At 43.8% G+C, this 17671-nt stretch overlaps 1 protein-coding gene across 69 annotated transcripts in view, besides 3 other annotated features; it reads right to left on the bottom strand.

Moving 5' to 3' along the window:
• Positions 1-17671, bottom strand: part of CELF2 (CUGBP Elav-like family member 2) — an 874126-nt gene that overhangs the window by 93334 nt on the left and 763121 nt on the right.
• Positions 533-622: an enhancer, noted in NCBI's record as "active region_3003". NCBI's record gives its function as "activates an Ori minimal core promoter by ATAC-STARR-seq in GM12878 lymphoblastoid cells {active_cell/tissue: GM12878}" and the evidence as "EXISTENCE:reporter gene assay evidence [ECO:0000049][PMID:35858748]".
• Positions 6823-6892: an enhancer, noted in NCBI's record as "active region_3002". NCBI's record gives its function as "activates an Ori minimal core promoter by ATAC-STARR-seq in GM12878 lymphoblastoid cells {active_cell/tissue: GM12878}" and the evidence as "EXISTENCE:reporter gene assay evidence [ECO:0000049][PMID:35858748]".
• Positions 15940-16029: an enhancer, noted in NCBI's record as "active region_3001". NCBI's record gives its function as "activates an Ori minimal core promoter by ATAC-STARR-seq in GM12878 lymphoblastoid cells {active_cell/tissue: GM12878}" and the evidence as "EXISTENCE:reporter gene assay evidence [ECO:0000049][PMID:35858748]".

Genomic DNA, 17671 nt, shown 5'->3' with positions numbered 1-17671 from the left:
AGCCGCACGTTAAGGTACATGGTTAACTTCTTGGTCTCTATTTAGCCCTATTTGTTTAAAAACCAGTGAAACATAGCGAAAGGGGAAATTTCAAAGGCTCCTTCCCTTTCTCCCTCCCGGGGAGAAGGAACTAGAGTCAAGCGCGGTCCCAAGAAGGCATCTGCTGAAGCTCTGTTGCTGCTGTGTACTAAGAATCAGCGTCCTATGCACAATGAAGGTGGAGCTCATGGAGGGGAGCATCTCGGCACACAGAGATATAGTCCTTCAGGGGTCTGCTTGGGCTTTCAGTGAGCTGGAGCTTCTTGAGGGAAGGCCCCTGGCCCACTGTCCCTTCTACCCCAAAGCTAAGCTTCTGCACCCACGACAGCACGCAGTGGTTTGGTTCTGACCCAGCACCAGTTGCCACCGGCGCCTCCGTCCCTGTCGCCCTGGTAGGAGCCATCTGTTGGTGGCGGACCACACAAGCCTCCCAGCATCAGGCCTCCCCCTTCGTCCCACCTCCTGGGGATAAGCAGCCCATGGTCCTCCCACCTCTTCTCCCTCCCTACACACACACAGGGTCCCAGAGCTGAGTGGTCCACCCTGGTCCTCACCCTGGCTGGCCTGTGACTGGACCTGATGCCCCTCACTCCTGAGTAAGCTGACCTTCGATTCTTCCCACAAGGCCCCAGCTGTGACTCATGAAAATGAAAATGAGAGTACGACTTTGGAGCAAAGCCATTTCTCAAGTCTGAGGGGTAAGTGCATGCACAGAGCGCTGCACACAGCTCTGCCAACAGCTGTCACCACCTGGTGCCGCCGTGAAGCTGGCCACGGAGCAGCTGCACCCAGCAGCTATACTCTCCAGAGTCGCCACTATGGACACAACCTCGTGGGGCTCTCTGAAGCCCTCTGCCTCGGTGGGTCTCTGCTGTAGGAAGGGAGGGTTCCGAGCCAACACAGGCCTAGTCTGGAGACAGAGTCCTGGGGGAAGGAAGCAGCTGCGGGCAGGGGGCACAGCTGGCTCCTCACACACAGGAGAACTCATGTTGGAACTTGTTGAACCCCAGCCATCACCAATTGATGAGTTAACCACCTTTAACATGAGATTCAATAAAACATGCCATTTTTAACCTGAAATGGGTTTTTACAGAGTCACTGTTACGCATCTCATTATTAAACCCATCCTGACCCCTGGAGAGAGCAGCCGTGCTAGCACATATTGTGAGCTTACTGCCCATAAAATATTTAAAAGTAGAGAGAGGGGATGGAAAGAAGTGAATTCACGAAAGAGCTATGTGCCAACTGAGAAAACGAAAATATTATGGCCAGTAAAGACCCACTGGTATTTTTCTTTCATTCCATGACAACACAAAAATCATCCATGGAGAATACTTGTGTCTCGCTTGTATATTGACTATGAAACGCCAAAGGCACCTGTACTTTCTGAATTTTTCTCTAAAAAAATTTGGGAATGCTAAAAACAAGTTTCAAAAGATTTGCCACCAACTGGAGGCCCATCATCCCCTCAAATGAAAGACAGCATGCCCCACCACGAGACCTTCTATTACATAGGAAGACACCCCCAACCCACACAGGTTTGCCTGTCTCCCTCATGAGTGACTCTAATTCCAGCCACTGTTCTATTATGCTCCTGATAGCAGAGATGGGGAATAATCAAAAATAGCTTTAGGGATGGTGACTTAGGAACATCAATCAGCACTAAAGAAGAACCTTCAAATTAAAAAAATAAAAACAAAACACTAACACTACGGTAAACTTGCTAAGATATCTTTAATAGAAGGACATCTCTAAAAGAATACAGATGACAAAAATAATCTGTCAGATCAATAACAAGCAGCTGGCCCAGCGCGGTCACTCACACCTGTAATCCCAGCACTTTGGGAGGCCAAGGTGGGTGGATCACTTCAGGTCAGGAGGTTGAGACCAGCCTAGCCAACATGGTGAAACTCTGTCTCTACTAAAAATACAAAAATTAGCTGGGCATGGTGGCGCACACCTGTAATCCCAGCTACTTGGGAGACTGAGGCAGGAGAATCGCTTGAACCTGGGAGGAAGAGGTTGCAGTAAGCCCAAACTGTGCCCCTGCACTCCAGCTTGGGTAACAGAGCAAGACCCTGTTTCAAAAAATAAATAACAAGCAGTTTTTATCACTGGGACAAAGCCATATCTGGAGGTCATAACTATTCCTGATAAGTGGAATGGAGCCTTTAGACAACTGCTGTCAACACAGAGGAAGCCTCCCCTTCGCCGTCACTCTACAGGCTCTTTATGCATGGTCATTAACTGAATTTTGACAAGAGCCCCAGAAATCGGTACCTATGAGGAACCCAGGCAGAGAGAGGCTAAATAACTTGGCCGAGTCAGACAGCAAGCAGGTGGCAGAGCAGGGATTCGAATCCAGGTCTGTCCGGTGGGAGCACAAGCCTGAGGCCTCTACCCCACGCCGCCTGTCATGTGCATCCACACAGTTGTGGTGTAAATAAGTTTGGGGTTTCTAAGAATCTGTAACATTACCATAATTTCCCTCTTCCACGCTACACATAAAGATTGCCTCCACCTACAGGCTTCTTTCCAATGAGGAACTCATACTTTATATGTGTGTGCAGTATACCTGTGTATTTGCATATACACATACAATGTTTTAACAATTAGCCCAAGAACAAAAATTACTGTTTGGGTTTTATGAAAAGGGCAGGAAAGAAATAAAAACATGTAATGAAAAAAAAAATAGCTTTAGAGTCAGGCCAGGGAAGTGTAGCCCCGGCTAATTTGCCATTCGACTAACAAGGACAGAGCTAAATCTATGCTTGGATCCAGAGGTTCAAAACTCACACAGTGGATTAGACTCTGAGGTTTCTTTCACAGGGCCAGCTGTCTGAAATGTTCTACATAGACGCTGAGAAGTGTGAGAGGAAACAATGGTTGTGAATCACTGACGTTAATTGATCTTACATTTTGTGGTGTATTCACAAACTGATAGTGCAAAAAAGTACACTGGAATCTATAAAACGAATCAAAGTGAAGACCACTCATTGTTGGGTGAACAATCATTCATGTCAAAAGGCCCTACTATGTGGCTTTATGTTAACTGCCTGGATTATGCAAGGTCTATTTATCTGAACACTGCTTTGGAAATTCGGGAAAAAACTGTTACCCTCTGAAGATGCCAATTCCATGATGGAGGCAGAATATATGGCATTTACCTAACCTCCAAGTCTCAGCGCTATTTCAAGTTGTTCTTTTACATATCACGATTAACATAGTAGGCACACAAAAAACTTTTTTTGAGATGGAGTTTTGCTCTTGTTGCCCAGGCTGTAATGCAATGGCATGACGTTAGCTCACTGCAACCTCTGCCTCTCGGTTCAAGCGATTCTCCTGCCTTAGCCTCCCGAATAGCTGGGATTACAGGCGCCTGCACCAGGCCTGGCTAATTTTTTGTATTTTTGTAGAGACGGGGTTTCACCATGTTGGCCAGGTTGGTCTCAAACTCCTAAGATGATCCACCTGCCTAGGCCTCCCAAAGTGCTGAGATTACAGGCACGACCCACTGTGCCTTGTCAGAAAACTTTCAATCACCATTTGCTGACATAATTTTATAAAAGTGATCTAAGCCAGTTTAAAAAAAAAAGTGGATTTGAGTTTGGTAACAACAAAGAAACAGAAGTGATCCTTATCTCATATCCCCTTCTCCCAACCAGGGGAAAAAAACTACAGTGGAAATAAATTACAACTTTTTCCTGATAGCCATGATGTGTGTGACACACTTAAAACACTGATGGCACAGTAAGTGCCCGCTACAGTTGTCATCATCATCCTCTTCATTATTATTTTGCAAAGTATAGGAGCTTCCCTGAGGGGAAGGAGACAAGGTCCCATCTGAAAGCTAAGAGAACACATTGGAGAGAATGGCCTTTCTCGGTCACCTGGGATATATACAGCCAGCAGTGCTCAACTCCACAGGCTAATAATCTAGTGATGGAGAAAAACTGCAGAACCCAGGATTATATATCTGATTTTGGCTTATCAGGCTCCAAATCAGCCTTTGTGCTGTAAAGATACCACCTATTTACATTTCCATTAAAATCACGTCGTACACCAAAGGGGAAAAAACAAGCAACAAAGCCATTTAGTCCTGGCAAAAAATAAAATAAAATAAAATATTGCAGGAAAACTAGATTACTCTGGGTGGAATTCTATGAGGGAATTTGGAGTCTGTTATGGTGATTAAGTCATCATTTCTGACAGATTACTCTAATCGGCTGTCAGACAGCATTCCACAACCCCATCTGTAACTTGGCATCCTAGTTCCTCAGCCTATGTTACCTCCTGTATATAAAACACACACCAAACAAGAGAAGGTACAGCCTAGCATTTATCACACTCGTTAGCTGTGATTAGGTTCTGTGTTTTCATACTAAATAATAACACAAGCTTTCATTTTGCTTTATTTAATGTTAAAATTAGAAGAAAAATGAATAGGCTTAAAATAGGAGGCACGGACCATGAATGAAAAATAACAGCTATGATCAAAGTGTGAGTGTGCCGCTTTCAGAAGCACTGCTACTCAAAAAAATGGCAATCTTTTCTTAGTTCAATTTTTCTTAGAAATATTTTTACTATATTAGTGATAAAGATGAATAAACTGATGCCGTTTTTTAACCTTCCCATTAGATGTGGCACCCAACTAGCTATCATCTCAGTAGAAGGTACTGTCACTGTGTTTAGCAATGTTATTGTGAACAGGAAATTTATTTGATAATACTTTAGTTCTTCCCTTTATGTCAATGCACCTTTGTGATATAAGAAGCAATGAATCCAGTCAGTTGAGCTCCCAAATAAATACAAAGCAAAACTAGTTTTTATTTAAAAGTTTATACCTAGGTTTGTCTGGAATCCTTTGCTTAGATCTATGTTTTAATAGCAAGAAACTAGAGGGTATAAAACAATTTTGAAAATGGAGATAAATGGAAAGATTCAACGTATGAAAAGCCTTATAGGATTATAGTGCTGCTAAGGCTGTACTATGACAGCTACAATTACAACAAAAGACCACGAGAATTGTGTGCGACACTCGGAAGATCACAATCACTACTGATTAATGAGCTCAAATTAAGAGAAAGGTAATAATCTTCCCTTATCACTAAGTGGGAAGTATACTGACATCCTCTCAGCCATGATTCCTTTCTGACTTGTGGAACTGTCTTCCGAAGTCAATGATGGGCGCTCCAATACTCATTCTTCCAGATGTTCTCCAGATCTTACCCAGGCGCTAAATCAGACAAGCTGCCCAACTGAGCAATGCAAAATACACACTGAAATGATAATGCCTGACCTGGCCATTAAAGGCGACTAAAGGCGTGGTTTAATTACCTGGTGGCTCATTTACATTTCCAATCCTAGATTCTATTAGGTTTGTACGAAAGTGATTGTGGTTTTTACCATTACTTTCAATAACATATACCGACAAACAGTATTCTCTCATATTTTAAGAGAAACGAGTTGTGGTTTAACAACAAATCATCCTTGTGACATTTGTCTCTGGCCGTGACGCTGCCTGGGGCCTCAGTGCTCCCTCAGCCTTCGGTGCCCTCCCCAGTGCCAGCTGTTGTCAGGTGGGGCTCACTGTGACTCAGTTCTCGACATCTTGGGAACTGGGATGAACAAAGCCCCAAAAGCCAGTGAGTGGCTGACCCCCAGCCTCCCTTGTAACCCTCACCCAGTGTGGAGATGCTAGTGGGGCTGAAGCAGCCCTTGCACCTGGGCTCCCCTTGACGACCTGGTACATGTGCTGGCCTCAAATTGGGAACAAGTCTCCTCACCTGGATCTTCTGAGCCTCTTTGCAGGGCTCGACTCTGTCCACCCTGATCTCTTACACTGCTTCCCAGGATGACCTACTACTCAGACTCTTCCAGCCACACTCCTGCCTCACCCCATAGGAAATGACCTGAATCTGGGTACCCCACAGAGAACTTGAGAAGCTGGACAGAGACCACGGCTTATGGGGACATCAACCCCGGGATGGGGGCAGCTCTTCCAGCTTCTCAGACCTCTCACCTAACACTCTGGCGTGGCTCTAAATTTGCTTAATTTTCTACCCCTTGAAATCCTCAGTTTAGCTCTCTCTCTCTCTCCTAATTTCTTTTCCTTCTCATAGACTTTTCTATTTCCACGGCTACAGCCCTAGTGAGGTTTTCATTCCTGCTCACCTGGATCCCCGAAACAGCCTCCTCACCAGTTCTGGTCATTGCCTTCCATCTTCTACACCATTGCCTTTTTAATCTGTCTAAAACTCAGTCTAGAAATTTTTCTCCCCCACTCAAAGACTTTGACTTATCTACCAAATTAATATCCAGCTCCTTGGCATGTATTTCAGGGAATTCCATGCTTTGACCCTCAGCTCTCTTTTCAGGCCTATTTCGCATTATTCCATCACTCTCTCTTCTAGTGGAATCAGGCAACCCCCTATTCCATGAACTTCTGCTGTGTGTTTATCCACACAACGGCACAATGACCCTTCTCATGCACGTACACACGTATTTCCTTTGCCAATCTAACTGTTCTACATTTATTATACAGAAACAGCTATACTTCAAGTTAGGTTGGGTAATTGCTGTGAAATTGCCGTTTTTGTAGTTTTTTAAAAACATGGGTTAATAGTGACCGTTTCATATGGTTCAACCTTATATATTGCATACGAATGAAACCACATTCTCTTCTTTTCAGATAACTCATTAAAAGGTCCAAGAAGTTCCACTTTTGTAGACTTTCTTTTTTAAGGTTTGGAAAGCTATCCAGTAATTCATCTGCAGTATTTACTAGTTTCAATTCAAGTTAAACAGTGACTTGATGACTTAAAACAACACTACCCTCTAAACAAACCACAGAATTGATGAGTGTTTCCTGCACAACGCAAGGCATCCTCCATCCACTCCAGGCAGCTTCAATGCTCTGTTAATGTTATTGATGCTTATCCAGTAATCTCTAGTTTCCTTTGAACTTTAAGACAATCTAAAGCCACCACAAGAATACCCCTCTAACAAGCAAATCTTTAAAATCTCTGGTTCAAAACTAACTTGGAAAATTTAAGCCGATTGTATTTTATCTTGAACCTTCTGACAGGATACGGGCATTTCATGAAATCAATGGAAAAGCACTACTGAATTTCGTATTCTAATGATCCTCCCATAGCTTAGTTTATGAGTCCTGAGTTGTCTGAGTTGCTTTGCCAGCCACGTTTATTAATTAGTGTCTAACATTTCCACCTCTCTGCAAGTTGCAACCTCTCATAAAAAATGTATGATTTCATTGGTTTAGGAATGACAACTTCATTTACGACAGACACATAAATACCACACCTCACTCAGCAATCTTTTTCCATTCATTTACCTCCATGGCCTTTGGGAGTTGTACTGAGTGAATGAAAACATAACTAGGGTAATTCCCCATTCTTACTCACGTTTAAGCAAAAATGATTAAATATCTGTTTTTTTCCTTTTAAACAAACAAGGCTGTCCCCCCACCCCCCAAAAAAAACTTCTCTCCTAAAAATAAATGGCAAGTTTTACAAAGTGCCTTAAGGGCTATTTCTTATTACCCATGTTTAAAATGCAAATCCATTAAACATCTGAGCAAGACATCAGATATTGTTTTCAGCAGCTACATTTATTCATCTCGTCTTCCATAGTTGCACTGACTTTGCTTGGTATTTTGCTAAACAAAGAGCTCTCCTCCAGCGTTGCTCAGTCTTCATGAGTTTGAGTTTAATTTCACTCATTTTGATTTCTACCTTCTATTCTAATGTGTGAGATTGTTCACCAACTTTGGAAAATACTGGTTGGTAGAGCTTAGAGAAATTATGACTAAGGTTCAATTGTTCTATAAATATGCTTATCTTCAAGTTCAATCTTTTAAAGAGAAAATTCAAGGATTAGGCCTTCAGATATACCGCACGTAACTGAAATTGAAATGGCAAAGGTAAACACAGATGAGGAATATGTGAGACAAGCATGTGGGAGAGATTTTATGTTAAGGAGTAAAGCAAGAACTCTTTATTGACAGCACTTGACCTGTGGTGACATAGCTTCTACTTTCATAATTTCTAACAACTGTGGAAATGTAGCATTTAATGGGGACTTGCGAAGCTTGCCTCTTTATGTTTGCTTTGTTTTTTTTGTCTTTATGTCTGTTTTGTTTTTGTCTTTATGTTTGTTTTTTGTTAGTGGAAAGAACATCACAGAAGCGTAAGGTCTGAGTTTGAATGCTGACTCTGCCAATTCCAAGTATGTGAGTCAAGTTGCTTGACCTCGTTAAAACTTGGTAAACTCATGTTTGAAGCAGGGATTGTACCAGAAAACTCACTGCATCATTGTGAGGACTGAATAAGAAAATATATATGAAAGTACACAGTAAAATGTAAAGTGACGTAGGGATTGTCAACCCTCTTCTTCATTCAGTTAAGGATTATAATTAGAGTAAAAAGTGCCTTTTTAACTCTGCAGGGCTTCCTGTCTCTACTGCGTTTGTTGTCTGTGGAGGGCGGATCTACCTGATGGAAAGGATTGCGATGGGGATGAGGGGATCAAGATCTCCCTGCCTCCTCTCACCCCCACCCACCAGTTTGTAAAGAACTTGAATTTTTTTTTTTTTTTTTTTTTTGAGATGGAGTCTCACTGTCACCCAGGCTGGAGTGCAGTGGCGCGATCTCGGCTCACTGCAGGCTCCGCCCCCCGGGTTCACGCCATTCTCCTGCCTCAACCTCCCGATTAGCTGGGACTACAGGTGCCCGCCACCTCATCTGGCTAATTTTTTGTATTTTTAGTAGAGATGGGGTTTCACCGTGTTAGCTAGGATGGTCTCCGTCTCCTGACCTCGTGATCCACCCGCCTCGGCCTCCCAAAGTCCTGGGATTATAGGCGTGAGCCACCGCGCCCAGCCAGAACTTGAATTTTTTTTATGTTGAAAGAGTGTCTATGAATAAAAGCTGTTCTTCAGAGTTCATCTATTCAACAAACATTTGTTGAGCACTATCTATGGTGTGAGGTGTTAAGCCGGGCTCTGACAATGTTCCCTCTCAAGGAGTTTGGAGCTCAGAACAGGAGCAGCTGAGACCTCAGCCATGGAGGGGAATGAAGAACAGCAGGTGACAGGATAAATTGAACCATGTGACACAGTAAATTACAATGAAGCAATGTTCACCTCTACCTTCCCAGGATAAGACACCAAATGTGTGTCTCGTATCATACAGCTGGGACACAGCACATGAGCAAAAATGTCCCAGAAGCTGAAGAAAAAGGTAGGGGCACAGTATAGAGCGTGGATCTCACCCTTCAAACTCAGCAGTCACATCTGATTTTTCTGATACAAGATGCAGCAATGTTCACATATGCCTGTGGGTGTAGGGGGTGATGTACAACTCTGGCACACCCACCTCTCCCATTCTAGAGAGCATCTAGAATACTAGGAAGCATGGGGATTACAGGGATAACCTCCCAAATCCCCTCACCCTTGCTGTGCCTTTATTACCCCTAATGACAACTGGTGAGTCCCAACTTGATAAAGACGGAGCAATTCTAGAGGTGCCATTAAGGTAGCATCCCGGTATCTTCACTGTTGGAGGTTGGGGGTTAGAAAGGTGAAGTGTATGTAGGAAGAGGAGATGAGGAAGACCATTTCTTGCGTTTGGCTTTGGCTGACCCACCAATTCACTTAAGATGGGCAATACAGGAGGAAGACCTGGTTAATAGTAATTTTAGTACTGGAATTTCCTGTAGACCATTTGAATGGATCTGTTCAATAGCAGATACTGGGTATCTAAGTCTGGGGTTTAGCAGAGAAGCCCGATTTTCAGATAAACATTTGGCTGGCAGCAGCCTGTAGAGGTAGCGGAAGCCTGGGATCACTGGGACCTAAAGAAATCACGCGGCGTGAGAAGAAAGCAGTGAAAACAGAACTCGGGGCATGTCAGTGTTTAAAGGGCAGCATTTGATCACACCCTTTACTTGCAGTCTCTGAAAAAGTACACCCAAGTTCCTGTAACTTAGGAGACAGCGTTTGTTTCTCCTGCGTGTGTGAAAGCCCATGGCGTAAGGTGTCTTTTTCTCTTTTTCCCTCAGCTCTGCTCCAATCCAGCCTCTTCAACATTCTGAGCTGTAGCCCAGGCCCAATCTGCCCTTTTAAAAATCAGTGTTGGGCCTGAACAGCTGGTGTATTTACTCTTTCATTAGTTAGAATTTTACTGAATTCTAGGTAGGTTTTCTTTCCCAGTAAATCTTAATGTACAGTGGACATGTTTAATAGCCACATTACAATGAAACTTACAGAGTGTGCCATGTTTAGAGAACAGAGTCAAGATAAAATGCCTATGAACACATCCAAGGAGTCCAAGCTATAGTGTCTGCTAACCAAATGCTGTCAAGAGGCTGAAGATCATGACTAAACAAGACTCCGGGATGCTGCTCTGGGAATTGGGAACCTGGCACAATTGACTCTGACAGCCTCATGACAGTCCCGCCACATATGCAGCATGCTCTGCCATTTTTCTTCTCCCATCCATGAATGTGGGCTATCTCCTATCCATGAATGTGGGCCATCTCCTATCCATGAATGTGGGCTAACTCCTCTGAAGCAGATTATGTAAAAATATAGCGTGGTGTGTCCTTGAAATCAGTACCATGCAACATCATCAAGGCAACATCATCAAGGCACATCTCAGGAGGAGCTACAAAGATCACCCCAAGAACTCAAACATCTTCAGCACTGCTCTTTCCCTTCTTTCCGAGCCATAGATTTTACCATTCGTCAACTGGACTGAGTCCAGAGCTCATTTCCACTAATGAGTGGATGCTGTGATTGTGATCACTTGGTCCTGTGGCTGTGTGAGTTACTCACTTCTATTTTTTCCCCCCAAGATCACGGGTGAAGGAGACTCGAGTCATCTGACTCAGAGACAAAGTTGTCACTGATGAGAAAACAATGAGGCTTATGAGTCTCCAAAAATGTGTCACTGAGAGATAGAAGCTATTTTTTAGCCCCGACTACATTAATTCAGCTCTAATCAGATACTGAAACAACAGAAATGAGTACAGGAATGTGAGAATGAAAGACAGCACTCATAGGTGGGAACTGAACAATGAGAACACATGGACACAGGAAGGGGAACATCACACACCGGGGCCTGTTGTGGGGTGGGGGGAGAGGGGAGGGATAGCATTAGGAGATATACCTAATGTTAACTGACGAGTTAATGGGTGCAGCACACCAACATGGCACATGTATACATAAGTAACAAACCTGCACGTTGTGCACATGTACCCTAAAACTTAAAGTATAATAAAAAAAAAGATGGGGCGGTGGTACTTAACACTAATAATACATGAATGCAAAGGTAAAATTTGATTTTCTCTTTTGAACACAATTTTTATGTAATATTGAGATGATGAAAGATTTTAATTTATTTTTTTATTTTTTATTTTTTTGCCTTTGAGTGCACTGCAGGTAAAATGGAGAGAAGAGAGGGGAAAGAGAAGAGACAGGATCAGGTTCAGTTGACCTCATGCTGTCTTTATTGAGTCCCGTTGTTTGGAAAGCTGTCTCCTCTATCAAAGACTAAACGTTTCTTGCCTTTTTGGGAAAAAAAAAAAAAAAAGAAAGCAACCATATACAAACTAAGTAAACAGGATTTTTTTTTTTCTGAAGAGTTAATCATTTGGTTGCAATGAGCAAAATGGACACAATGTGTGTGCTTCTGTAAGTTCTGCAGGAACCCTGGTCCTTTTTATCTTCCAGCCCACATACTCCTTCCGGATCCCCTTCTCTGCTCAGGGCTGACACCCCATCAAGCAGATATGATACCCTAGCTTGTCTCCTCCCCTGGGTATATGCTCTCTCTTGTCTTGCCCCACTCTGCTTCCTGTTCCACAAGGATCTTCTAATCACTTTGTTTCTTATTTGGTCGCCCAACTGCAGCTCACTCTTTGATGCTGGTCTAATAAGCAGCAGCTGCTGATTTAGGCAAACGCTGACCATGGTTAAGTTCAGGTTTTATGCAGCAACAAATGATTTTGTCCTTACAGACTACAATCCAGGATGTTTGTTGTAGCTACAATAATTAGGAATAACCCACAATGTGAAAAACTTCTCCAGATTCACAAGAAGGAAGAATGAAAAACAAGAACTCAGAACTCACTCAAGGGGAAATCTTACACTGTTCAGGGCAGATGACATTCTTTTTAAGCCTCCCAAATTGCAAAAACATACATAGACCCAGCATCCCTCATCAGGCAATAGTATATTCCACTCTAGCATTCATGTGGTAGTTACATTTTCTTTGTCAGCAAAAGTCTCTCAAGCTGCGGATAGCAAGAGACACAGGGTAATAAATGCTTTGCTTTCCTGGTAACGAATTTCGAGTCCGTGAATGATGAAACAGCAGGACTCTACACTCCGATGCTTTCTGCAAGGTGGAAATGAGCTGCTGAGTATTACAGATTAACTCTTTGTGGCAGAAAATTGTTCCTCATGCTTTAGAATTAGCTTGTTCTGGCCAGAAAAACTGTGCTTAAAATAGCAGCATTTCCATTCATCCCCTTACAGTCTGACACACATTAATTCTATGTAAGTCCCACTCAGAGATTTCCCACAATTTAGAGGATGGTTGGGAGGGAAAAACCCAGTTGCTCATTCAAGGATGCTGGAAAAACCAGCATGTCCTCACATCTCCATTTACTTTCTCACCTCCTGTCCTCCATAGTCAGGCTGCCCTACTCCACCCCACCTTCAGAATGTCTGGAAGGAAACAGGGAGGGTGGCAGCCTCTCCAGAGGATCTCTCTTGACTTTGGTACTCAGATGAGGGAACACAGCAACCCAGCACTTGCGAGAAGTGTGTGTGCACACACAAACGGGGTTGCCCTACAGTGCACCCTGTGAGGGACTCCCAGGGAAAGAGCATCGGAGAGGACCGGTTCTACAGAACAGCACTTCTCAAACTTTGCTATGTATCCATGTCACCCAGGATTCAGTATTTTCAATTAAAAAAAAAATTAATTTTTTCAGAGTGATGTTCTGACACACAGACGCACTGTGAAATGATGATCACAATCAAGCTAGTTAACGTATCTGTCACCTCACATGATTATTTCTGTGTGAACGTGTAAGACCCAGGGATCTAGTTCAAATGCAGGTCCTGGGGGAGGGCCTGCAAGGCTGCACTTCTAACACTTTCTCAGATGACGTGACTGCTGCTTGAGTACCAAGACTCCAGTGTACCTGTGGGAAGATGATGAGCAGGTCAGAGTCAGTGCCTGTACATCCAGATGAAAGCGGAAGATGAAAACAAGTTATGTCACCACCACCTAGCCCTTGGGGTCAACATTGGTTCATTCTCTTAACAGAAGTTCTAAAACTTGCCTGCACACTGGAATCATTTGGGAAGCTGTAAAAATACTAGGCTGGGCATGGTGGCTCAGGCCTGTAATCCCAGCTCTTTGAGAGGCTGAGGTGGGTGGATCACTTGAGGTTAGGAGTTCAAGACTAGCCTGGCTAACATGGCAAAACCCTGTCTCTGCTAAAAATATAAAACTTAGCTGGATGTGGTGGCACATGCCTATAATCCCAGCTACTTGGGAGGCTGAGGCAGGAGAATCATGTGAACCTGGGAGGTGGAGGTTGCAGTGAGCCAAGATTGCGCCACTGCACTCCAGCCAACAGAGCGAGACTGTCTCAAAAAAAAAAAAAAAATACTGATGCCAGACTCTCATCCCAAGTGAGTCTTATTTGGCTGTGGTGTGGCCTGGGCATACACAGTTTTAAAAGCTCCCGAGGGATTCTATTCCTGTGCAGCTGAGGCTGAGAATCACTGCCCCGGTTTTATATGCAAATGGACTGAAGTACAAAGGACCGCTTTCCTTTGTCTTCATCGGTTCTTTATAAGTTCATCTACTGCACATATCATTTTGGGTAGATGGCCAGGAAGAATCTTATTAGGTTTCTGGGTCTTTCCCAGAGAATGGAAATGAGAAAAAGAAAACACCAAGTTCAACAGCCTCAAGTCATGGAATGAAATGCTACACACAGACTGGAAATTTGGATTCTGGATTTCTGATTCTTTAAGGTGACATGCTTGGCATAACCTTGCAGAGAAATCACGGGGGCATGGTTTGCTGAAAAGAGCAACAGGCTCGGAGTTAGGAGATGTGATCTGTACTCACCCCAGCACTGACTGGTGTGACCTTCAGCATCTCACCTGTCCTCCCACCTTCCTGGGCTCCAGCTTCCTCATCTATCAAGTGAGGAGCTTGGACAGGACGTGCTTCTAGGGTCTGTGATCTATAATTCCATCCGGCCTACTTTCCTGCACAGGTCCTTTCTTCCTCTGTTGACCCACATAACATTCAAAGAAACCAGAACCGACTGAAATCAGCTACAGGATTTCCTGGGCTTTTGATTCTCTCTTAAGTATTTTCCTTACTGATGATACTTAGTTTTTGTCAGTGACCTGCAGAGTTTTTAAAATCTTGGTAACTCTGCCTTAGGAGTGATTCAGGTTAACTCAGTGACTGAGATTCTCAAATGATAAAATGGTGGTTCCAAGTTTTTTTTTTTTTTTTTTTTTTTTTTTGCGAGGGGCGCGGGTGGGGGTTGTGATTATAGTGCCTCTATGAGCTGCAGAAGACACCAAAGAACTAGTCAAAATCTAGGCTAATGCTTCCACACCTACTTAAATGACACCTTACAAATATTAGTAAATTGTAAGTCAGATATTAGCAATGTAAGGAAGACAGGATGAGCTTAGCTTCAGTTAACTGAAAGGTCTCTTTCTTATCATACTTGTATCTAGTTAAAATAGGTAGATTATTACCCATAAAAGATACTCACTGATGTATCATTAAAGAAATGTTCTCTAAGAGGTGTAGCCACTTTCACTTTCTTGAATGTAGAACAATAGGCTTCTAGTTGAAAAGGCAAACAGGTAAGGAAGACAAATTACTACCTTATTTGTTTTTTATGTGAGATCAAGTATATATAAAGTTCTTGGCATAGTTCTGAGGACATAGTAAACACTCAATAGCTGTTAACTGTTACCACTACTTTTAATACTTGAACATTTAGTGTTATTTCATTAAAATTACTTGAATTCTGAAAGCTACTGATAGATATCCATTATGTAGACAAAACATTTATAAGCCAAAATATGCTAGAAACATCCTGAGGTTCTGTGACTACTGTTCTGACATTTACTAAGCATATAACATATATAGAATGACAGCAATTCATTTTCTCTTTCCTAATCCCTGTGACTTCTTGACTACACTGAGCCCCATATGCTACTTAATGTGAAATACCTGCACAGTTTCCTGGCAGGTATTTAAATACACACTCTTCTGAGGAAACAATAATACCGTGTATGTGCTGGTGAGTACACAAAGTGTGGAATGTCACAGATTAAAATACACCCAGCGACCCACAGTCACTCAGTTAAGCCTCCAGGAGAGGAGATGAGTTTGCAGGAGCCTATCCTTTGCTCTCACTCGGTACCCTCGTCCCTGATGCGTGACAGTGTTGTAGAAAGTGCCAGCCTACAGGTGGCAAATAACCACCTGGTCTAACCCAAGCTGCCAGAGGCCACCATGACATCATGAGCTCTGACTGTTGTAACTAAGATAGAGGTAGCCTGAGCTTCCACCTCATGATACATCTCTATCCCTTAGATTCCGGCCGAATCTAACAGCAGATAACAGCAAAAACCACAATGTGATGGCTAGACAGAGCCAACCCAGAACTGGCCCTAATATCGCAGCCAGTGCTCAGCCTTTGATCCTAACTGGCCTAGGAATGTCCAAGCTTCCAGCACTTCATGCAGAGGCACCCCTGGCACCCATCCTCCTTTGCCTTGACTTTGCTGTGATGCGGAGAGCAGCAGCGCTGTCTCATGGGGCCGTGTTCATCCTGCTGTGCCATCTGTGGCGTGGGCTGCCTGGTTCTACCTCTCAGTGCCCTGGTTTGTGGTGGTGAGTCTGGTCCCTTGTCGGCAGCAGCAGATTCAGAAGCTTAGATGGTTATGCAGACTTGACTGCTTGGACCATCACTTCCTCATTAGTAAAACAACAGGGTAGAACAGTTCCTTTCTAAAGGCCTCCAGGAGTTTTCAGGGCAGGAGGGTGTGATGATGGCAGGCAGGTTGAGGTTTCCGTTTGTTTCACAACCTCGGCCTCTTGTCCTGCTGCCTAAAGCTTGGGGTTGCAGGTAACAGAGTCCTGCTCACTCTTCCAGGGTGAGCCTCCATACTTGCCCTTCCCCTGTCTGTGGAACACGGAAGCAGAGCAATGGCGAGGACAGTTGGACGGAGCTGGGCATTAAAATGCAGATTGTGGATTGGGACTGAAAGCCTGTGGATGCAGATAAAGAAATGCACCCTAATAACATGAATGTCAATGCGATGATGCTGCTGAAGAAAGATGGTGCATTTATAATCACTTTCGCAAAGCAGTACCTCTTACAGTGATGACTGTCTTTGATCTATCACTTCCTCTTAGAAAGCTCCGTGTTAGTAACTTCACACCCAAAAGTCTCTAGCAAATACCTTGCCTCGCTCGCTGAATGTTTTTCAGGACCTGTGCAAGGGAACATGGCTTCCCACCTTGGGCACAGCCGCTGCCAGGTGCCCCGATGCCCCTGCTGTGGCAGGGCCAGCTCGTGTGTGTGTGTGTGTGTGTGTGTGTGTGTGTGTGTGTGTGTGGCCACTGCCTGCCCAGCTGACTTCTAGGTTCATGCTGCTGCACCCTGTCAGCAGGTCCATGCCATCTGACACAGCCAGAACTGTCATGGTCCTGCTGTTCCACATCTATGACGAGCTGCAGGAGTGGGGCAGGACTGAGGATTTAGATTTACCTTGTGACAGTGCCAAAGGGGCAAATGTGGTCCTTCTGAGGCCCTCCACCTGCCAGGACCACTTGCCGGGACCGGCAAGCCTGCACCAACACACAGCAGAATGGAAAGTTCCTTGGCTTAGAGTCCAGACATACTGGTTCTACCCAACTGCCTGTAAAGTCAGGTGCCAGCTGTTTAACCCCAAACAAGTTACTCATCTTCTTTGAGTTTCAGCTTCCTTGTCAGTAAAACAGGGTATACAACAGATGTCCTGTGGAGTTGTGAAAATTAAACTACAGCCATGGAGCCTCCCCATGGCAACCCATAAAGAGGAGCTACTTCCTTCACGGTGACTGTTCCCGTTGTGCTGTGCTGGCCTCTTAAGCCACGCCCATTCCACCCTACAATGCAGTGAGCATGACACCTAAATCCACCACCACGAGGCCAACCCAACTGGGCAGTCCTAGAAATGACGACTTCTAATTCCAGTTCCATCACTGCTTTGCTTAGGGAGGTCAGAGAAGTTAATTTAATCTCTGGCACTTCAGAGATGTCCTCAGTGTAACAAGGTGAATGCTATCGATACATCACCTGAAATATTTTTAGAAGGGATAACAAATAAACAACTCTATAAAGCCATTTACAAACACAGAGGAGTCACTTACCCATGTTAGCTGAGGACAGGAATCAAATAGATAAAAAAATCCACCAAAAATCCTGAAACCTCATTAGGTTAAATACCCTTTCTTGTCAAACCAGGGCTGTACACAAGGAAATAAACTGACTCGTTCGAGTCCAT

Source organism: Homo sapiens, chromosome 10 (genome assembly GCF_000001405.40).
Source record: "Homo sapiens chromosome 10, GRCh38.p14 Primary Assembly".
Classification (NCBI taxonomy): domain Eukaryota; kingdom Metazoa; phylum Chordata; class Mammalia; order Primates; family Hominidae; genus Homo; species Homo sapiens.
This window is presented reverse-complemented; position numbering and strand designations above follow the sequence as displayed.